The sequence below is a fragment of the Homo sapiens genome, chromosome 13 (assembly GCF_000001405.40).
Source record: "Homo sapiens chromosome 13, GRCh38.p14 Primary Assembly".
Taxonomy (NCBI): domain Eukaryota; kingdom Metazoa; phylum Chordata; class Mammalia; order Primates; family Hominidae; genus Homo; species Homo sapiens.
Genome location: NC_000013.11, coordinates 25,961,212 through 25,983,183, shown reverse-complemented (window position 1 = coordinate 25,983,183; position 21,972 = coordinate 25,961,212). Strand labels below are relative to the sequence as shown.

The 21,972-nt window shown below is 43.3% G+C and overlaps 1 protein-coding gene and 1 long non-coding RNA gene across 10 annotated transcripts in view, besides 4 other annotated features; one reads left to right on the top strand and one right to left on the bottom strand.

Moving 5' to 3' along the window:
• The window catches only part of ATP8A2 (ATPase phospholipid transporting 8A2), a 653,878-nt gene that overhangs the window by 42,668 nt on the left and 589,238 nt on the right, over positions 1 to 21,972 (bottom strand). For all 8 annotated transcript variants that reach the window (NM_016529.6, NM_001411005.1, XM_047430383.1 and 5 more), the window contains 2 exons: positions 21,521 to 21,609; positions 14,505 to 14,609 (listed from right to left, as the gene is read on the bottom strand). In NM_016529.6, the coding sequence (NP_057613.4) occupies positions 14,505 to 14,609; positions 21,521 to 21,609 (194 nt within the window). The remainder of the gene's footprint in view (positions 1 to 14,504; positions 14,610 to 21,520; positions 21,610 to 21,972) is intronic.
• Positions 3,882 to 4,433: an enhancer, noted in NCBI's record as "H3K27ac-H3K4me1 hESC enhancer chr13:26552889-26553440 (GRCh37/hg19 assembly coordinates)". NCBI's record gives its function as "activates a minimal SCP1, AML or CMV promoter by ChIP-STARR-seq in naive H9 embryonic stem cells {active_cell/tissue: H9 hESC(naive)}" and the evidence as "EXISTENCE:reporter gene assay evidence [ECO:0000049][PMID:30033119]".
• Positions 5,386 to 6,329: an enhancer, noted in NCBI's record as "OCT4-NANOG-H3K27ac-H3K4me1 hESC enhancer chr13:26550993-26551936 (GRCh37/hg19 assembly coordinates)". NCBI's record gives its function as "activates a minimal SCP1, AML or CMV promoter by ChIP-STARR-seq in naive H9 embryonic stem cells {active_cell/tissue: H9 hESC(naive)}" and the evidence as "EXISTENCE:reporter gene assay evidence [ECO:0000049][PMID:30033119]".
• On the top strand, positions 5,680 to 7,604 carry LOC105370122 (uncharacterized). 2 transcript variants are annotated; one of them, XR_941764.3, is made up of 3 exons: positions 5,680 to 5,748; positions 6,567 to 6,637; positions 7,435 to 7,604. It is a non-coding gene; the product is annotated as an uncharacterized LOC105370122 (long non-coding RNA). The 2 variants fall into 2 exon arrangements; XR_001749797.2 differs by having other exon boundaries at positions 6,528 to 6,637.
• Positions 7,693 to 8,231: an enhancer, noted in NCBI's record as "H3K27ac-H3K4me1 hESC enhancer chr13:26549091-26549629 (GRCh37/hg19 assembly coordinates)". NCBI's record gives its function as "activates a minimal SCP1, AML or CMV promoter by ChIP-STARR-seq in naive and primed H9 embryonic stem cells {active_cell/tissue: H9 hESC(naive and primed)}" and the evidence as "EXISTENCE:reporter gene assay evidence [ECO:0000049][PMID:30033119]".
• Positions 8,232 to 8,771: an enhancer, noted in NCBI's record as "H3K27ac-H3K4me1 hESC enhancer chr13:26548551-26549090 (GRCh37/hg19 assembly coordinates)". NCBI's record gives its function as "activates a minimal SCP1, AML or CMV promoter by ChIP-STARR-seq in primed H9 embryonic stem cells {active_cell/tissue: H9 hESC(primed)}" and the evidence as "EXISTENCE:reporter gene assay evidence [ECO:0000049][PMID:30033119]".

The following is a 21,972-nucleotide window of genomic DNA, read 5'->3' as shown; positions in this document are numbered from 1 at the left end:
GGCAGCACAGAAAATCAAAGCAGACACACAGAAGGTGCATCCCAGAGCCTACAAAACATTGCTAATGATGTCATAAGTTGGACTCACTCCAACAGAGCTACAAAAGAACAAAAGTCAGAAAACATAAAACCTAAACATGGTATAAACTGCTGTGTTCCAGAAAGAAGCAAATGCAAGAATAATGCATTGACACAAACCATGAAGTAAACTTGATGGAATGATGTGGTTATATCCTTTGAGAATATTACATAAAAAGGAAGAAAAAGACATCCTATATGGAACAAAAAGAACAGAGAATCTGAGGCACATAGATGAGGATGTCTGCTATGCCTAATGGAAGAATTGCCTGAAGATCCATATAAAGAAATTTATTTATCTGGAATCAAATGGTGCACTTTGTAGACATTTTTTGCAAAACAGTACAGTTACAAAGATTAATAAATTGTTTTTGAGGGCATAGGTGTATTTTCATTTCCAAATACCAAAGAAACTAAAGTGAAAAACCTTGACGCCACAGCAGAAATGTTATCTCCAGCTGGCTGCATTGCAATCACATAGTTTATGGGTCCAAGAAGCAGAGGCCAAAATGGAGCAGAAATGTGTGGCCACTGCATTTCTCTGGGTTATCAAATAAAAAAGCTCACTTGGATTTCACTTTGAAATGTCACTGTGTCTCAAATGCTCCAGTGTACAGAATATCTTTAGATGTTTGATCACAGAATACAACCAATTTGTCCGGCAACATGGCAGCAAGCTTGTGCCCCACCCAGCCCCGGTGTCTCTTTGCTTTTGAGTGCTTTCGTGTCTGCAATCTTCTGCGTCATGTGAAAAGCACTGTGCATAAATTGGGAACATGCAAAAGGAATTTGTCACAGGCGAGTCTTCAGTTTTCAACAGATTTGTGAGGATGGTGAAAAGATGATAGCTTAGACAATAAGCCCAAAGTTCCATATGACAAAAGTGTATTCAGCCAGTTCCTGTCCTCAGTTCTTTTTTAAAGAGCAAGTGCTTTCTGAATAGGTGAGACAGAGCAAGAAGGGCAAAAGGTCTGGGCAACAGATCAATGCTTTGAGAAACAAAACCACCATCATTCTAGAAATAGCTTAAGAATCTAAAATTTCTCCCATCTAAAATCTTTGAGTATTTCTGATGAACTGGCCAAAAAAATAGATATGGGAGAACTAAAAATTTTTGATTCCACTAGTAATGAAAAGTTGTATTTATCAGTAAATTCAGTGAGCACATGTACAACTCTTAAATTATACCTTTAAAATCATTAAAATTTTAAATTATTCATTTTATGTTCCTAAACTAAATGTATAATATTAAATAATTAAATGTGCCTTACTCTCTCAAAAATGTCTATTCTTACTAAAGACTTCACATTTTTTCAGGAATGTATCCATCTGTATTTTGTGACTAAATTGAAATGTAAAGTTAACACAAGCTTTTAGGATTACAGTGCTGTTTACTATTCTTTCAGCCACTCGTTTTTAAATTGCATTTTTTATACATTGAATATTTTTAAAAAATATTTAATTAGTATAAGAACATACGAATTGTTTCATATAATACATATAAAATCTTAATATATTGAAATCCAGAGATATTTTCAAGTTAACTTGCTTCTGTCAGGATCTCAGATTAAATAAAAGTTCTTATTTTTGATTTTACAAATAGGTCACTGATTAGTAATTAGTAATTGTAATTACATATTGCTATTTTTCAAACAAGCATTCTTACGTGTCCATTCACATAAAATAATACTGGCAACTAGCCTATTCTCACAAAGTGCATTACCTGATCCATGTTCCTGTCTGTGTGGAACATGTGACTGTTATATTATGTCAGTCACATAACAAGAGATCAATTATCACATGATGCTATTTTGATTTCAGAGACAGTGTGTACACAAACTGTTGGTTCCTTCTTTGTATGACTTGTATACTTAAGCAACAGTTAAATATAATCAAGAACAAAAATGAGAAAGTCTGAGGTCACAAGGCAAAGTATGAAAACACAAACTTGGCAACTAATCTTTATCCCTCAAGGCTTTTCTCAACACAACCCAAAACAAAACAAAAGTAAACTAGATATAGAGATGATATAAAGCAAACTGTCTTCCATAACACTCACTTCTAATTTTTGTCGTTTTGAAAAATCAACTCATTGCTAACGCCAATTGACTTTAGAACAATAAATGTCTTAATTTGAACACATATCATAAATTCATACTAATAAATATTTTGTGTATTTTTATATACAGTATTGAGGTTTCACTTAACTTTTTCTTTATTTTTAGAAACCAGGTCTTGCTATGTTGCCCAGGCTGGAGTGCAGTGTCTGTTCACACGCTGTAATCACGGCTCACTGCAGCCTCAAACTCCTGGACTCAGGTGATCCTCCTGCCTCAGCCTCTTGAGTAGCTGGGAATACAGGTGCATGCCACCGTGCCTGGCTAGAGATTTTACTCAATTTTTAACTTTGAGAATGGGATTCTATGGCTTTTAAGTAGTATGGTAATCACACATTCTAAAAATTTGTGTCATGTATGTCCCTTGCTTAAACTCCTCCCATGGAAATGTTTCCTGGTGGCTACAATCCAATGCCCTAGGACCCTGCTCACAAAGGCCTGTGTGATCTGGCTCCTGCTGCCTCTTAGATCTCTTAGATGACTTTGTCATGCATTTCCCAGGCACTGGTCACACCGAGCATCCCTCCCACTCCCCCTACAGGCCTTCTTATCAAATTCTGGTGCCTGGAACGTTCCTTCCCCAGATCTCCTCTTGGTTGACTGCCTGTTTAGGTCTCAGTTTAAATGTTGTCATGGCTCAGAAAATATGACCCTGAGCACTGTGAACTGAAGGAGACTGAGAAGGCCTCAGAAGCAAGAGGGTTGCTCTGATCCTCCCTACCTTTCAGTGGGAAGCACAGTCATGAAGGTGCTCACTGACCTTCCTTCCCTGAGAGGAGGCCGTAAGACCTGCGTTCCACAGTGGTCCTGCCCCACACCCAGCGGGAAGGAAGGCTGCACAAAGAGGCCCAGAGTCACAACAGACAGGTCTTGCTGAATTCCCCATGCTTGATAAATTACCCCCTTTTCTTCCAATCACATTTTTGCATGACTGTCCGTTCTTCATTGGCATAAAAATACATACGGTTTTCCCTGGGTCTTTGGATCTTCATTTCTGAAGGCTCCCATGTCACAAAAAACTTTGACAAATAAGTCTGTTACGCTTTTCTCTGATTACTCTGACTGTTGTTACAGGAGTGTCAGCCATGAGCCTTGTAATGGATGAGGAAAAGACATGACTTTTTTCTTCCCCGACAGTGTCATCTTAGGAGGCTTCCCTGACTGCTCCAGCCCAGCCATTCACTCCCCGTTATGTCCTCTGGTTCATTTTCCTCCCAGGAGCCACCACTCACTGTCTCCCACTACCAGGCGAGCTCTAAAGCAATAGGAATTCCCTCTCTCATTCTAGGCCGGAGTCTGGCCTGGCACTTCCTCCGTTTTTAATAAATGTCTGTTGCGTGGATACATAAATGACTCGCCCCACATTAGGCCAATCACTGGTTCTATTTGCTATGAGGCCAACATGTTTACTCATTAGTAACTGTGAAGTCCCAATTACCACCACCTAAGGGGCCTTGAGCCAATCCTAATTGCCAGAGAAAGAGAATAAACACTGAATAATCATATTATCACTGCCCTATTAGAAAAGGAAGACTTAACTGGGACTCACTGAATCACTAACAATCCAGGCTCTGTGACAGTCATTCACGTGTCCTGGTCTACAGAAGAATTTACTCTTAGATACACCAGCATGAGATCCATGCCAGGTTTTTTTAAACCCAAGAATAATTTTTTTTTCTGTTCCTGTTAATAGAGAAATGTTTCCAAAAATCCAATAAATCTATTGCTAAATGCAGTGATTCCTGCTACAATGACCATCTCTTGGTGATAACTTTTACATATTCTCCAAGTTCCTCTCAACCACAAGGCCAATGATGTCATTCACCCGTGACCTAACTGGACCTTGACTGGCTTTCCAAGTGCTGGCTTTACAGAACTAGTGTATACATAAATGGTGACAGAGACCACTAGTGACAGAGACTAGTCACTAGTCTAGTGACAGAGACCACGTCAGGGGCCTGGGAGGACATGCTCTGTGCTGTAGTGTGCAAAAGCAGCCATCAAATATGAATAAAAAACATCCAGCATTTCTCCTGAGGCTTTTTTTTTTGAGCCGTAGTCTCGCTCTGTCGCCCAGGCTGGAGTGCAGTGGCGCGATCTCGGCTCACTCCAAGCTCCGCCTCCCGGGTTCACGTCATTCTCCTGCCTCAGCCTCTCAAGTAGCTGGGACTACAGGCGCCCGCCACCAAGCCCGGCTAATTTTTTGTATTTTTAGTAGAGACGGGTTTTAACGTGTTTGCCAGGATGGTCTCGAATTCCTGACCTCGTGATCCGCCCGCCTCAGCCTCCCAAAATGCTGGGATTACAGGCGTGAGCCACCGCGCCCGGCCTCTCCTGAGTCTTCTTTTTGCCTGTAACAGTCCAGGACGTCCCAGGGATCCAGCAGTTCTCTCAGATGCACTACAAAGTCACTTTAACCCTGAATGCTGGGGGGCCTGGGAGTCTACACTTCTTCTCTACGCCTTTGTAAGAATTTAGGGAGAGGCTCATTGAGAAATGAACAGTAGAATCCGGTTATTCCCAGATAACATCTAAATTGTAACTCAATTTTAGGATGGGTGTACCTGCCTGTTTGTTTTCAGGCTGGAATGTCTTACTCTCAGAGATCAGTCACAGTTGGAGGTAGGCAAAACGGGAAGCCGAAGGGAAAAGCAAACAACTCACTGATAACGCAGGAGAAAAGCGATTAGCAAAGAGATCCCAGAACCTCCTGAAGAACTAATCCCCGCCTGGAATGTATAATATCACTATTCAAATTATGTGACCTATACAATGGCAATTTTTTTTTGGCAAATCTACCTTTAAATGTTTCTATTGCTGCTCAAGTGGGTTAAATAAAACTATCCTCCCCAAAAAGATTAAAATATTTCATCACTACTTAAAAAGGGATACAGTGAGCTAGCTGTCCACACTAGTTTTGTTTGGAACTGAGAATAAATTCATCAGTAAAAATGGTTCTTGAAAAAAAGTCTTGTTGGCAAATAGAGAAAGTTGACATGGAACTAATTTAAGTCATAATTCAAAAAAGGAAATGTACTCAAGTCATCCTGGAAATACAGCCTGAGGCCGTGTTACTAGCAAACCGCTAACACTGATGGTCTCTCCACACTTACCTCCCTCCATCAAGAGGACACTTCTTCCCATTTTCTCTCCAGGCATTTTCTAAAGATGCTGCACTTCTTCATCGCAGCACTGGGCAAGTAGCTAAGCTCCTGATTAGATTTCTGATACAGCCACAGCACCGTTTTAAAGGTGAACAAGATGCTTAATAATAAATGACATCTGGTATTTAATTTAAAAATTTTCTAATTATTAAACATCGGTCCATAAGAACAATAACAACAACAACAACAACAACAGGCTCTTGGAATTCAACATTCCTAAAATAACAGAGAATCAATTATTTTTAGTTGACACAGGCAGCTTAGGCATTAACTAAATGCTAATGAGGTGTTTCACTTCCTGAAGAGTTTATTTTCCTCCTCCTCTCCTTCCTGTGCCCAGGATGCAAACAGTCACCAGAAGCCCGGCTGGGTCATGCGGGCAGCCTTTCGGTAATTTCCTGCCACATTCACTCCCTTTGTTCCACTAATGCATTTCCTCACCTGTCGCGAGTATTTGTCAGCAAGGCGAGAGCTTTAACTGGCCTTGCCTGGGAGCGTCGTTGGCTCTCCAGCTGTTCTCCTAAGAACTCTCCCCATTGTCTCAACTAAAATGTTTGCCGGCATTAGGCTTTGCCCAAGGTTCTTTGCTCTACAAGATTAAACGCATTCAATTAATTTTTTCATAGACCATACTAGGCTCCACGAAGGTGACTGTGGGTGGAAATTGGCTTCTTTAGCAAGGCTTCTCTTTCCTGAGCCATATCAAAATGTGAGCTGCGGCTGGGCACGGTGGTTCATGCCTGTAATCCTAGCACTTTAGGAGGCCGAGGGCAGGGAAGGGGGGTGGGGGTGGGGGTGGATCACAAGGTCAGGAGTTCAAGACCAGCCTGGCCAAGATGGTGAAACCCCGTCTCTACTAAAAATACAAAAATTAGCTGGGCATGGTGGCGGGTGCCTGTAATCCCAGCTACTCAGGAGGCTGAGGCAGAGAATTGCTTGAACCTGGGAGGCAGAGGTTGCAGCGAGCTGAGGTCGCACCACTGCACTCCAGCCTGGGCGATAGAGCAAGATTCTGTCTCAAAAAACAAACAAACAAACAAACAAAATGAGCCGCTTTCACACACTCTTTTCCCTTTATTTGCTCTGAATTTGTCCGCTGGTTTGGCTTCAGCATTTCTTGGGGGGAGGGTATGATTTCTCTGCTTGGTCCAAGTTCTTCCTACATGTAGGGATCTAAAAGACAACAACATGCAACTACAATTCTCTAGCTTCCTTGGATTTTGCACGCAGCTTCACCAGACAGCAGACTGTGACCCTTTTCATCAGACCATGCTAGAAGGTAAGCACCCCTCCTGGTCTCTCTGGGGGCTCCGTGGCTTTCCAGTCTCTCTAATAAAGATGTAATTGCAAATGCAAGCATTTGGGTGGCTCTCCACATCTTGGCTTGGTGGAAAGAGGCCTGAAGTAAGAAGATGCAGGTTTGCCTCTCTTTAGTTGGGTGACACTGAGCAGACGTGACTCCATCTCTCTGAGGCCTCATCGCCTTTTCTGCACATGAGGAAACTTTCATTTGCTGCATGTGGGGATCAGTGTTATGATAAAAAAATAAAGTGGAGCATAATGAATAAGTCCATGGCATTAAAAACCAGGAAGACAGGTCTCAGCATGGCGGCACATCCCTGTAATCCCAGCTACTTGGGAGGCTGAGGCAGGAAGATGGAGTGAGCCCAGAAGTCAAGCCCAGCTTGGGCAACATAATGGGACTCTGTATCTTAAAAACAAAACAAAACAAAACAAAAAAACAAGAGAAAGTTCTCCAGATTCAGAGGAACTTGAGGAACACAGAAACCAAATGCTATGTGTGAACCTTGCCCAGATCCTAACACAAATCAATCAATCCTAAAAGGCAGGGCTGAGGCATCCAGAGAGTCTTTTTATGGACGGGTTGTTTGACTGATACCAAGGAATTATTATTAACTTGTTAGATGTGATCATGGGGACTGGAGTTCTACATTTAATAACATAAACAAGCATGCTGTGTATCACAGATGTTATAAAGTCTCGTGGAATATTTAGAGATGCCTCCTAAAGCATAGGTGGACTGTCGTGATGCCTGGGATTTGCTTTATGTTTCAGGAAAGAAAGACTCTGAGCAGAAGGGGTGAGATGAAGCAGTTCTGGCCGAATCTTGATAATGATTGGACCTGGGCAATGATTTCATAAGAGCTTATTGTGCTCATCTCCCTACTACTATGTATGCTTGAATATTTGAATAATGAAAATAAAACTTCTTTTTTTTTTTTCGAGATGGAGTCTCACTCTGTCCCCCAGGCTGGAGTGCAGTGGCGCGATCTCGGCTCACCGCAAGCTCCGCCTCTCGGGTTCACGCCATTCTCCTGCCTCAGCCTCCTGAGTAGCTGGGACTACAGGTGCCCGCCACCACACCCGGCTAATTTTTTTTTTTGTATTTTTAGTAGAGACGGGATTTCACTGTGTTAGCCAGGATGGATGGTCTCCATCTCCTGACCTCGTGACCTGCCCGCCTTGGCCTCCCAAAGTGCTGGGATTACAGGCGTGAGCCACCGCAACCGGTCGAAAATAAAACTTTTAAAATGAGTGTTTTAAGGGAAGCTCAGGCTGCCATCAGCACAGCAGGGAAGTTGGTGACATCAGAGAGTGTGTCCTGAGGTGGACGGCATTTGTTCCCAGGACAAGGCCTGTCCTGCTGCCCCTGAGTAGCCCACGTGTGGCCCAGTGCTTGGGACACAGTGCAACACCATCGTATAAAACCAGTCAATCAAGAAGAGCCAAGGGTAGCACCAACCACAGAAGGGCACAGCGTGGGGAGGACAGGGGAGGTGGAAGCTGAGGGTCGCACACGTGAGAAGAGAAGCAGAGGCGGAAATCACTGTGGTTCTGGTCTGCACTGGCTCAGCAGGTGGTGGGCTGAGGGCAGAAGGTGGCATGATGAGGCTGTGCTTCACAAAGGATGTCTTCAGCTGTGGGATGGTGGGTGAAGAGGGACAGGCACCACCCCAAGGGACCAGGGGGGATGACTGTGCAGATGCTGGGAAGACGCCGAGACCTGGCACCCAGGGATGCGCAGGACATGAGGGGACAGTGTGGACACTGAGAGCGAGTCTGCAGTGTGGGAAAAATTCATCCCGATGGAGCAGGAGACTCCGAAGGAAGGGCTGGTTCTGGGGAGGAGTGGCAAGGACCGGCATAGACGTTACAGACAGACTGCAGCTCAGATGGACAGGGGTAAGCTGGCGAGAGATCCTGGGGCAGAAGGGACAGCCTGGACTGGGTACACTGTCCTCTTCACAAAGAGGAGCTCCTTGAAGCTGTAATCCAAAGGCTGTCTTGAGGAGACCACCAAGATTCAGAACTCACTACAGTCCCCACCACACCCCCATCCAACATTCACTACGGCCATTCGTCCACACCACTCCCATGTCCCTGGGATTCTGTTAGATTTCTCCCTTTTACCTCAGACTAGGGGGCACACCCCGACGATGCAACTCGGAGAGCCTGCTGCATTCACATCTTCCCCAGGCTTACATGTTAGATGGTAAACACGGCCAGTGAAATGTACTTGTTATGCAGCTTTTCAGTTAGGGGACGCTTCCTGAACATCTACATAGGCTATAGATTTAATCTGCATTATTTATTTAAACCTCAAAGCGAATGTATGATGAGAAAACTGAAGTTCAGAGAAGTTAATAACCCAGCCAAGGCCACACAGCTAAGCTAGAGCCCAGCTCAGGTCATCTGTCTCCGCCGTCTGCACTCGCTTCTCTGCTTCATGACAGAGCTGAGGAAAAAAAATGCAGCTGGAAGGAAAATAAATCTCAACCAGGTGCTGGAAGCAGACATTTGCCACCTGGCCTGGAGAGGTTTGCTGAAAGGATGCCCTAATTTCCTATCCTTTTGGCTGGAAAAAAAGCCAATAATAGGTATTTTAGGAGGAAAGTGTGGGAGAGGTGGGACAAAAGCAAAAGGGAGATGCACCACATGTGCACTGCCAACGGCCAGTACTGTGAAAAAACCGATTTCCTGAAGTGACGCAGTCATTGTTGGAGTCCGGTGCAAAAGGCCTGCATCCCTCCTGCCTCAGGCTGGCTCAGCGACATGCTCAGCCTGGCAGTGGGACTGATTTTGACTTAGAGGTGTGATGATACTAAACAGTTTTTTCAACACTGTTTTAAAGATCAAAGGATTTCCGTTAAAGATCAAAGCATGACAGGTATTTTTGAGTTGAGTACTCACTCAGAATGCATTCGGGAGTTTGTGTTGTTTCATTTTTTTAATACGACTGGTTTTCAAAGGAGCACTCGAGAGCACTGCCTGGAGTGGAGGAACAATCTTTGGTTTGTCTGAAATCTTGCTGCTGTGGTTCAGGCTCTGTTCCTATTTTTCGGCAGAGAGAGCTCCATTAGGATCCCAGGCCACCTGTCCAAGGCTGTGACCAGGGCCCTGCCTGTTTAGAGGCAGCCTGGATGAAATGGAAGCCGCAGAGCAAGAGTCAGGTTTCCCTCCTGAATTCCCTGGCGGTGATGGGCCGTCCAGATTACCCCGGGTCACAGGGCCACGCACAGATGTTCACAGAACACAAAACCGAAGGGAGACGAGGCGACGGCTCGCCAGAAGGTTTAAGACCAGCCACACAGCTACCTTCACCAAAGTCACAGCGTAAGCTACACCCAGGGAAAGCACTTAAGGGGAAGATAATCCACTGCCTTCCTGGCAAAGGCAGGGGCAGCAACCGGGTCTGTTTACCCTTGACAATGGAGAATATCAGCCCTGGGCTCACCCCACCCCACCCCACTCCCACCAACTGGGATGAACAGAGTGAAAGGTGATCTAGAAATAGAACAAGCTCTCCTTGTTTATTCAGGCTATGCATAACTCAAAAACTAGATGTTTTCAACAAATATATTCCCCCTTTTTTTTCTTGCTTGCCATTGTACCTAAAATATTACAGGGCAACCACTTATCTCATTCCAAAAAAAATTAAGGAACAAAAGTCTGTCATCTTACACGCCGTCATCGGTTTATATTGTATCTGTAAAAGTGAGTGGCCACAGATAGATTTTCTTTCACCAGGAAAGAAATTTGCATGGCTTACACTTCAGGAATAAAGAAAGGAAAGATATTACCAAGACATTAAAAAACAAAGAATTTTCTTCCATTTAGCTCCTCATTGTTTAGACACTCAAAATAACGACATGCAGGGTAGACTATTTCATGTGCGGTGCGGGGGGGTTCCTGCTTCCCCAGGTAGGGATTACTGGGAAGACAGTTTGGGAAAAGGTATTCTGATCAACCCCAACAGTCACACGTGTCCAGTGTCTATAAGGCGCACAAACACCACATCGTGAAAAACACTCCTTCAAGAAGAACAAACTAAAATCAAGACAAACATTTTATTCACTCCCTAAAGCACTTTCTTCACTGTGCTTTCTGGATATCTAATTCCCTGATCTCACCCTTTCTCATTATCTGCTTCTTCATGAGAACAGGCTTATTAAAGTATCAATTCCACAGGTTGATTTTGGAAGACAAGATCTACTAATGAGAAAGTGCAGAAGCATGTTCATGAAAATTTAACTTTATCAAAATAGTATAAAAGTATGAGGCTTAGACAAGTTCAATAAAATGTTGGATGAAAATATTTTATTGAATGAATAAAAGGCACAGAGAGAAACTTAGAATCCCTGGCTACCATTTCAAAATTGTAATTGTAAATTTGGTACAAGAGGGTTTTCTAAAAAGATTAATGCATACAGATTTTTTTTGTTCTACTTCCTGTGGTTACATTCCTAAGAAAAACTGCTAGAATATTTGCCAGTGACTTGGACCTGGGTTTTATGACCTGGCAGAATGTCCTTTAAGGGGCCCTAAGCAATGCTGTCAGGACTGAGCTGAGTAAGCCCCTGGGGTTAGGGATGCTGAGGACCCCTGGGGGTGCCCTGGCTTGGCTGGCACAGGAAGGCAGGAGAGGGAGTGGGTTTCAGGGAGGATGGGCTCCTGGCCTGTGCATCTTTGCAAGGGTAAGATTTGCTAATCTTACATCACAGATGCCTCTCCATGTGTGAGTCTATGTTAGCTGTACTCTCAAGCAATGAGATAAACTGCCCCCTCCCTGGAGGCCCGGTGACTGTCAGCATCTCTCTGTGGCCACTTTGTGCACATCCGACACACGAGCTGACACACAGGCACCAGTGTGTCAGCTCATCTGGCACTGAAGTCACCGTCCTTTCCTCACTACCACCTCACTAGACTTTGGTATTGCCAGTCAGTCAGCCAGCAAATATTGACAGAGTTTCCTGTGCGGTTAACAGCTAGAGAGATACACAAATCAGCTGAAAGATCAGATGAGGGTAGGAAAGAAGGAACAGGGAGGGGTGAGAAGAGACAAAAACACTCAGGACCCCTCAAAGAGGTGGGGGTCTATAAGATCTTTAGAAGGGAGGACAGAGCTGAAGACAGACTTCTTAGTCTCTACCCTCCACCCCTCAGGAATCTAAGCAGGTGTGAAAGAAGAAAACAAAGGTTGTAAGAGAACAATTGTGAGGCAGCTTAGGAGGCCAAGCAGGACAGCATAGACTCTGTGCAGAGAGCAGCACGCCACCATTATCCAGTTTGCAGATGGACCACCCAGAAAATCTGTGAGTAATTAGGAGTGAGAAAAACAAATGGGAGGGGGTCACTGAGGAGGATGAGCGGCAGAGCCCCCAAACTGTGTTCTGGCTAGGAATTCCAAAGTGAAGCAAGATGCTGGGACTAGAAGAAAAGGAAAATGGTGCAACCAAACGGGAGTATGCAGGCCCACCCGTGCATGTGTGCGCGCACACGTGCACAGAAACACACACACACACCCCATCATATGAACTACAAAGTGAAATTTACAAGGAACCAGAAAATAAGACTTTCAAATGTAGACGGTAGGAAACCGCATTTAAGCTCTTATTTTCTGATATCCATTTGAACATTTAAAAATGAATTTTGAACAGGATAAGTGAATTTTAAAAATAACATTCATTTATCAACAACAAGCAAAAATGGGCTCACACACTCTTTCAAGGCTGACAGCCCACGACTTCCTTCAATACAATTCAAGGCCGACAGCTCATGACTCTCCTGCCAAAGTGAAGATGAGCAGCTGACCTTTTACACACCTGAGATGGGTCAGGCAATATGCTGCGTTGTACATATTTCACGAACCTTAATCCCCCAAAGAAAATATTAGCCTTCTTCTATGACAGATGAAGAGACAATCTGATCATATGAAATATCCTGCACAAGGCCTCACCGGTAGGTAGCAAAGCCAGAATTCAAACGCAGGTTCTGTATCTCTGCAAAATGCATGTGGCCCTCCAAACTGGGTGGTTGGTCCCTGCACACAGTGTTGGACCTGAGCCTTGGCATGTGCCACTCCCTCTGCCCAAATCAGACTCTCAGCAGTTCTGTCCATTCAAGACCCTCCCATCCTCAAAAGCCTGTTGTTCATCCATCTCCAACATGAAGCCTTTCTTGATTGCTCAAGCCAGATGACCCCTCCCCACATCAGAACAAACACTCTAAAGCACATTCTCACACCACATTATATGTGATGTCGTCCTGTAAAATGTTTGAGAGGAGTTTGAGAGTTTTGCTCTGAAATTCTCATTTTACTTAGAAATTACTTATGCCCCCTCAGCAATCATTGTGTATACTTGATATATAAGGGAGCCTGTAAGTTGTTTCTAAGTATAATAAACTTATTGTCCTTACTAAACTTAACGGTTAAGAGTGATATGCATTTTATAGGGTTTTAAACATTTATTAATTTCATTATGCAATGTTTCCTGCTCCCTAATTTTTGGAGCTTATGAATATGTTTTTTTTCAGGTCTCAAAGAGCACGGTAGGTCCCTGAAACTCTAACAGGTCCTGAGCCTTATGCCTCAGCTGTCTGATGGATAGAACAGCCCTGAACAAGCCTCAACCACGCGTAGTGGTTATATGTACATCTGCGGTAAAATCAGCCCCCATCCCCATGTATTCACAAACTTAAGCTTATGGAAGACAGTGCTTTTTGTCTTGTTGACTGATGATTTTTTACAGTGGCTAGCATAGCTGCTATAAAATGAATGCTTAATAAACTTACTAAAAAATAACTCATAAATAAATACAAAACCACAACTTCAACTCTATGCCATCATCCCTTTTCTAAAATCTGTTTGAAATTGTATTTTGAAAGCCTCTCAAAATGTTTGCATTCTCTTTCTTTAACAAAAAAATTATTTTGTCTTCATTGCTTTAAAAGATGGTACAAATAAACACAATATAAAGCAAAACACAAAGTGGGGACCTCTATAAGTATTTGATTTCTTGATGTTTGTTTCATTAGCAGTTGGTTACTGATTTCCTTCTAAGCATTTATAGGAGAGCTGTACTCAGAATATTATAGATATTCCATGTCCTTAATAGAGCAATGGCTTTCTAGTACCCTGCAAATTGTTCTCAGGCCCAAAGAAATTTCCCTTGATGGTACATAGATTTTAACAGAGTGCACTCTAACAACATTTTAACATCTTGTGTGATGAAACAAAAACTGCACACAGACCCAGCTGTTCCTTGTGGGGAAGGGCAGGCTCATGTTCAGGAGGAATTAGGAGAGCAAGCGGCAGTGTCTGTTCCAGGAGTTCACACGATTCCTTTCACTCCCAGCAGAAAATGTTAGCATTAAAAACTACTCCCCCATTTAGATATGCTGAAGTGGAATGTAACAGGTTTACATGAATAACAACATGCATTATTTCACATGCAAACCTTCACACTGTAGATACTCATCCTTGGGTACAGTACTTGGGTTTGAAATTCAAAGGCCTAGCTTTAACTCCTCTGTGGTAATACTGCTAACTCTGGACTCTTCCACCTTAAGATAATACTGCCACAACATCGATTTTCTGCACATGAGTTGTTTTGCTCACTTCTAAACCCAATAAAACCCCCAGTCTTACCTGGAGACTTCCAGAGATTTAGGTTTCATGTAGTCACTGAGAGTGTGATTTAAATCTGAGAATAACCAAAATTCTTAAGCCTGAGCATACTGTGCTCCCATCGAAAACCAAGATGAGAAAAAGAAATACAGGAAGGAATAAGGGAAAAGGGCCGGGAGCACCTGTGTTCTGTGCGGACTGGGACGGAGTTCCCCACCTCTTTCCATTGCTATCCCGCAGCACCGCTTTTCCCAGGACTCGAGACTTGGTTTCCAGCTCCTGCACCTCCTCCAGCAATGTCTTTTTGCAGGTGTGCTTGGCTCTGTGTTATGAGGAAAAGACAAAACGAACATGGCATAGAGACTTGACACAGCTGGGAAAGACAGGCCGCTCCCCTCTCAGGCCACAGCCAAATGCCCTTTGGTGGAGGCCGAGGCTCGGGAAGTGGTGGAGCTTTCACAGTCTCCATGCATGACCCAGGTTCCATCTCCACAGCCCGGAAGTATCCTGAGTGCTGCAGACCAGACCCGGATCATGCATGTCAAGAGTCACCCCCACCCCGCAAAGAACCGGAAGTCGGCCGAGCAGCCCAGTCACTCAAAGACTGGGTGGGGTTCACGAAGACCCAGGGTCTACCTCTACAGCATTTCTTGTCAGGAACTGAAAACCAAGAAGACACTTTAAACCCTCACCTTAGTGAACAGGCACTGGTTCCCTGGTCCAAGGACCCCAACTGCAGTCAGAGAGCCCAGGGGTTAGCAAGTTTCCTCCCTCCCTCTTTAGCGTGAAAAGAGCCACTGCCACAGCAGCCACGGGGCTTAGGATGCTAGAGTGCATGGTCTGGATGCAAAACCAGAGGCTTGAAACGTGGAGTCAACACAAATCCAGAGTGCAGGTTTCCCATCTTCCTCTGGCAACAACTCACCATTGGAGTCCACACACGCAGGCCTCAGTGACATTAATACAACTTATGAAATAACCCGCAGCCTGGACAGCTCACTCTTCTTGAATGGTAGGAAGAGTTCCCTCTACCCTTTTACTGAGGACACTAAGATGAATACCTCACAATGCTCAAATAATTGGCCAATCTCAGAGTCTTTATAAAATGAAAACTAAACTAAGCTAAAAGTGAGCTACCAGTTGGAAACAATCTAGCTACTAGTTGGAAACAGTCTAGGTGAAAAGACATTTAACCAGATATAGGTTATATAAGAGAAAAAAACTGCAAAGGGAAAAGGCTCAAAAATTAGTAACACACCAGACTGAAAAGCTTTGCATCGGTTTAATTTAAATATAAATACATGTGAGGATCCTGCTATGTACCAGGACCCAAAGACAGAATGAGAACAAAAACTGAGCACCTTTGCCCAGAAATGAAAACGGTGTCATGGGAACATTCTGAAGATGTGGGCTCTTCCTGCAGAATCCTGTACCACCTCACCCACCCTCCACCTTCAAGGAAAGAAAGCCTGTTAAGATAATGTGAGCCATCTCCCGACACTCCGAGTTAATCTATAATGGAGTATTAGCACTGAGACACTGTATATGCCCCTGTCATCCTTTCCCCCAAAGTAAACAAGGGAAAGCCACACAGGCTTTAACACATAATACCTTACTTAATTCCATCAAACAGTGTCCTGAGACTCAGGATTGATAAAATACTGCAGTTCAAAGCAGAGCCTGTGGAATTTTAATTTAAACAAGAAATGAGCAAATATCTAACAGTTTGCTGGAAAGGAGAGTCAAAAACGATGTTAAAATGTACCCCGTTCATTATTATGTAACATGTGGGGCCCCAAAAGTGGTCTTTTATCTCCTGGGCTTCTGGGGTTAGACTGACAACAAAGCCACCGAGTGCCTGCCCCGCCTGCCCTGAGCCATGGGCTTGCATGGGTCCTAGAACAGCCTGGCTACTCCTGAAGGATGAGCAGCATCGCTGGTTCTTCCAGGATCCCTCTCTCCACCATCACCCTCCCTCTCTCTCCCTATCCCCTTTCCCCTGCACAGGGGTAGAACAGACCCCATTGTTATTTCCCAGGCTGGGAGGAAAGGGGGTTCCTAAGTGGGAGGCTGGAATAGGAAGGTTGGCCACTGGGAACCTACAGCTTAGGTCAGAATCCAACCCACTGTGGAAGCTGCTGGTTTTTACTCAATCACAACATGGCCTCAGAGGGCAATGGTCTGAGCATGTCAGTGCTCCCAGGCATTGTGCGTGCTCTCAGGGGATGAAACTGCGCCCATATTCAAGAGTTACTCAGCAATTTGATACTATTTCCACTAGTTTAGCCCCTGTGAGCTAGCCTGGGAACTTTGTTGCTATTGGAAAACACTGAATTGCAATGCTGGGGATGATTCAACTTCTCTTTCTGCATGCATTTAACAGCACCTGAGTAAAGGGAGGCTGGCAATTTAAAACCCTGTTCCCAAGCACCTTTATCTAATAACGCCTGAATTAGAAAAACTGATTCTAAAATCTCCCCTGTCTAAAGGCTACATGTGAGTGGTCTAAAATTAATATTTATAGGTTATAAAGTCAGTTGTTAAGCATTAGCCACTGGCATGTCACTTAGGTCTTACCAGGAGCTGGCGTTTGGCGTGTTCTGAGTCATAGCTTTGACAGAGTAAGTCCCTTATCTGTAAATGGCTTATTGCCCAGTGGTCCAGGGCTTGCTTCATCTAACCCCACATCGAGAGGCTGGATGACCACAGAAGGGACAGAGTTGGGGTGCTGGCTACTGACTCAAGAGTGTGAAAGTTGTCTGTGGGTCTTCAGATATACCTAAGGGTGTCTCCAGGTTCTCAGAGACTTTTAAAAGAAATAGACTGTTTAAGGATCTTGAACTTTCCATCCTTTTTTTTTTTTTTTTCTGAAACTCTTTCCCTGGACTCTTCTTTTGTATGCAAGAACAGCAAGTCAAAAGGAAACATATAATTCTAAACCTGGATGGAAGTGTAAATGTAACGTGCTGCAAAAGAAATTAGTTTAGTTAGAAAGTTAAAAGAAATCAAGGCCCATTTGTGTATAGAAATTGCTCATTACCTCTTCTTTCCATTTAACTGCCTATCTGGGATTATAATAAGGAAATGAAGTCATTCTGGAATCGGGGACTGTATTGTTGATGTACAGTAAAATACAGGAGATACAGCTAGATAAAAGCAAATGGGTTCCTCTGTGTTCAGTGGCCTTGAGCTTGTATTATTTTTATAAAGCAATACTAACAAATTTCACCTAGATGAAAGTGGGTATGTGGCAGCTTACCTAAGCATGCTGTCATCAGTAAACATTTTGGATGAATATAAGCGCAGGGATATTAAAATAGTTCTGGGCAATTTAAACTTCATGCATCTAACAAAATTACTCATTAGCCAGGTATCACATATAATCAATCAATTATTTTAATAAAAGGTAGCTTAGTTTTGTCCCATATGAAAATTTTGGTTAGCAGGATAATAGCGTAGGCATTTTATGGCGTGCCAAATCTGACTTAAGATAGTCTAATAATGGATCTTCATCCAGAAAGCTGACAGACTTCATGGAAAAAGTGATTGAATTACCTCATTCTGGTTCTCTTTTCTTACTCTTAACAGCTCAGGTCCTGAAATGGAAGCGAGAAACTGGGCAAAGAAATGGGGAAAATGTAGAAAGATGGAGCAACTCACTTTCTTCAGTGCTCACAGAAATATACTTGAAAAGGCAGGCCTGCCTTAATCTGGAATTTAAAAGCCTTTTTTTCTTTGAGATGGAGTCTCACTCTGTCGCCCAGGCTGGAGTGCAATTGGTGCGATCTCGGCTCACTGCAACCTCTGCCTCCTGGGTTCAAGCCATTCTCCCACCTCAGCCTCCTGAGTAGCTGGGATTACAGGCACTCGCCATCATGCCCAACTAATTTTTGTATTTTTGTAGAGACAGGGTTTCACCATGTTGGCCGGGCTGATCTTGAACTCCTGACCCCAGATGATCCGCCCACCTCGGCCTCCCAAAGTGCTGGGATTACAGGTGTGAGCCACTGTGCCTGGTCTAAAAGCCCTTTCAAAAGAGAGTGATAACCACCAAAGTTCAGAACAAAATAAAACATCCTTAAGATGGGCCCAAGGCAAGATGAGAGGCCCGCAGCACCCCTGTGGAAGCTCTCTCGGCATCACCACATGCTGCCATCACAGGGTAGGGTCTTCAGCTGCCCCTGTGCCCACTCTCAAATACACACCCTTTCTGGGAACCCCAAGGTGCATCACAGATATCGTGCCTCAGTAGATACTTGACAACTCAAATCCAAGGATGGGTGGTTCGGGACAAGCAGGATTAATATTTTTGTTCAGTGCATGGGAAGAAGAAGCCAACAGCGTTTTCTAAAGCTGCAGTTCAGAAAGAGAAATCTCAGTGAAGCACTGTAGCTTCTCAGAGGTAACTGATTCACAATAGGCATTCTCTTTTTGTGAGAAGCCTCCGAATTTACTTGCCTCAAAAACAAATACTTCGGGTTTGGAGCATAATATGAGACATAATATGGGCCTCACGATCAAAGGGAAAATGCACCAATAAACTGAAAAATGTCTTGTTTTTGAGGAGAGGGGTGAGGGTAGTTTAGATATTAAATAGATATTACAAATTGAGCATATATGTGCTTCGGACAAATATTCCAGCTCACAGCCAATATATGCTATTTTCCCTGCTCCCCTAAATAAAACAAGACAAAAATCCATTTTAGAAAGCACCTCTGGAATTCAGCAGGGGCCTTTCTGGCTCAGCCCAGAGCTGAGATGCTGTTGGCTCCCCGGAAAAGCTGAGTTCTGGGCCCGTGGTGCCAGGTGCTGGGTGGCCGAGTGCTCCTGCTGCAGAGTGACGACCCTTAGCCTTCCTTGCTTGCCCTGCGGGCACCTCCACTGCAGAGCCCGGGTTTATGCTCTGACCCAGTTGGCAAGCTCCTTGGAAAGGAAGTGACTTTTACTCTTTCCATGTGGTGAAGCTGGGAGTAGTGTCATTTGATTTATCCTTGTTAAAATGTAAATGGTGCTAATTTTATAGTGCCAGGGGAAACCAAAAACAAGTCCTGTTTGAGGGAATAGATAATTTGCTTTGTGATGACAGGGAATGATTACTCAGAACGCACTGGAAAAGAGCCAGAAAATGGACAAAGAAGCACAGACACTTTGTAATCTATAAACATTCTCTTTCAGATGGAAGAGACTATTGCTAAAGTCTTCTGCAAATATACAGTCTCAATAGAATTGTTTTAATGACACTAATTTGAGATAGCTGAATTAAAATAAACTAATTTATAATCATGTTACTAGTTTTCAATCACTATAAATAGAAAAGGCCAGCTGATGTGGCCTATTTATCTAAAACTGACTTATCTTTGCAAAACAAAGATTTTGAACAAATTCAGCAAGGGACTAGATTGTGTCACAATTGGGCCTATTGGCTGAAAGAGCAAATAACAGAACTAATATTTTCTTTCTTTTCTTTTTCTTTTTCTTTTCTTTTCTTTTTTTTTTTTTTTTTGAGACGGAGTCTCGCTCTGTCGCCCAGGCTGGAGTGCAGTGGCACGATCTCAGCTCACTGCAACCTCTGCCTCCCAGGTTCAAGCGATTCTCCTGCCTCAGCCTCCCAAGTAGCTGGGACTACAGGTGCCCGCCACCACGCCCAGCTAATTTTTGTATTTATAGTAGAGACGGAGTTTCTCAATGTTGGCCAGGATGGTCTTGACTGCTTGACCTTGTGATCCACCCACCTCGGCCTCCCAAAGTGTTGAGATTACAGGCGTGAGCCACTGCGCCTGGCCAAAACTACTATGTTCTTATGGTACATCTATTAGATTAAGAAAATATTTTTTTCTGGCTGTAATCTTTTCATTTCTGAGGATTCTGATTCTGTTATTTGCAGAATATGGTTTTACCAAATAAAATGGAAGTAATGGTAAATCAAAGAATTTAAGAAATGAGAATTATTTAATTTTTTAACAGTTAAAAAACTTAGTGAACAGGAAAAAAAAAGAAAATCCATGTTATAATATTCTTTCCCCCTCTATCTAGATTTGCATGAGGTATCATCGGTTGTCAAGATAATGCCAAAATGAGGACTTTTTCAAAAGACTTCCATAACTGTCAGGCAAGAAAAATTCTGAGTGTGGGAGGAACGGAGGGCTAAAAATGAAATCTGATGTCTTTCCCTGGAAGGTTTGGATTAAAGTCTCACTTCTCTATCTCAGAGCCCCAAAATAATTGTGTTTTGCCCAAAGTAAAGCCGAGCTCGGAGTCTCAATTTTCAGAGAAGTTGGCACCTATTTGTAGGAGAAATTGGGTCGACCCAAAACAAAAATCAGTCCTATTTTACTTGGAGCAGCCCTCCTTTTGCTCATGGATAAAATTAAAATTTACATGACCTTGGAACTTAGTCGCTTCTTTTATATTGTAACAAGGTATCTTGAAAACAATATATGTTAAAACATAAAAGCAAAATTTAATATGAATGATTTCCTATTTAACCTACATGATAATGCCATCTTCATGACTGGTTTTCTCACAGACCTGTGAACTAATCCTCTAGAAGAATTTTACTGAAAGTATTCCTACTATGAGTTGTTTGGAAAAATGAAGAGTACTTCATTCTTGTAATTTTAAATGACTTACCTATACATAGCTTCCCTCTAAGCATGGGAAGTGAAGCCAGGCCATATCCGTGACCACTTAGCACTGAGTTTATGATATAAAGAGAGATGAGTTTTGAGTTATACTTTCTCAATTTGATGGAATGGGTGTGTACTCAGAAACTCTGCCTTTATATAAGGCAACATTCCTATTGATCTTCATAGTTTCTCTCAGGGCTCCTTTGTGTCTGTATTTTTTCTTTTCTTTTTGTTTCTTTTTATTTAAAGACAGGGTCTTGCTCTGTTGGCCCAGGCTGGAGTATAGTGGCACGACCATAGCTCACTACAGCCTCAAACACCTGGGCTCGAGTGATCTTCCCACCTTGGCCTCCTAAGTAGCTGAGACTAGAGCTATGCGCTGCCATGCCCAGCTGATTTTTCTATTGTTATGGTTGTCTATATTTTCATATCAAGATGAAGCACAAGTTAAACTAAAAAAATTTTTTTTTCATTTCTGGCAGGTGGCAGGAGACCCATTTCTTCCGAATTCCTGTCATTCTCATACCCTGTAGCAGGACTCATGAGAAAGACAATTCCAGGGACAGATGAGCCAGACTTAGGGTCCCCGCTTCACTGTTAAACTTACGCTCTCCATGCCACATCTTCAATCAAACAGGCAGTAGGAACCAGAAATAATCCCAACCAGAAGTGTGCGGAGCTCAGGACCATAGTTGCCTGCAAGAAATAGAAGTGACACTTGCTTGAATACTTTCTCTTTCAAAAACAGAGCAACATAATGTAATCAAGGATAATATTTCACAACACAAAAACAACAGACCGCACTAAATGCAATGAGAGGTAACCCATGCACTGGCAGGACCATCAGGGGGACGGATGGGGCTTGCTCCTCTCTGCAGCCTTCTCTCTTCTTACTTTCATTCTTCTAGTTTGACGTGTGCCCTTGCCTCTCTTTTATAAAGTGCTTCAAGCCCCTTCCGAACAGGATGTTGTCTTAAATCCTTCCTAAAGAGAGCTGTTGGAGTCACCAACACTGCTTCACTGAGGAGTAAACGTTGCCTCACTAGGCTCCTCCATTCA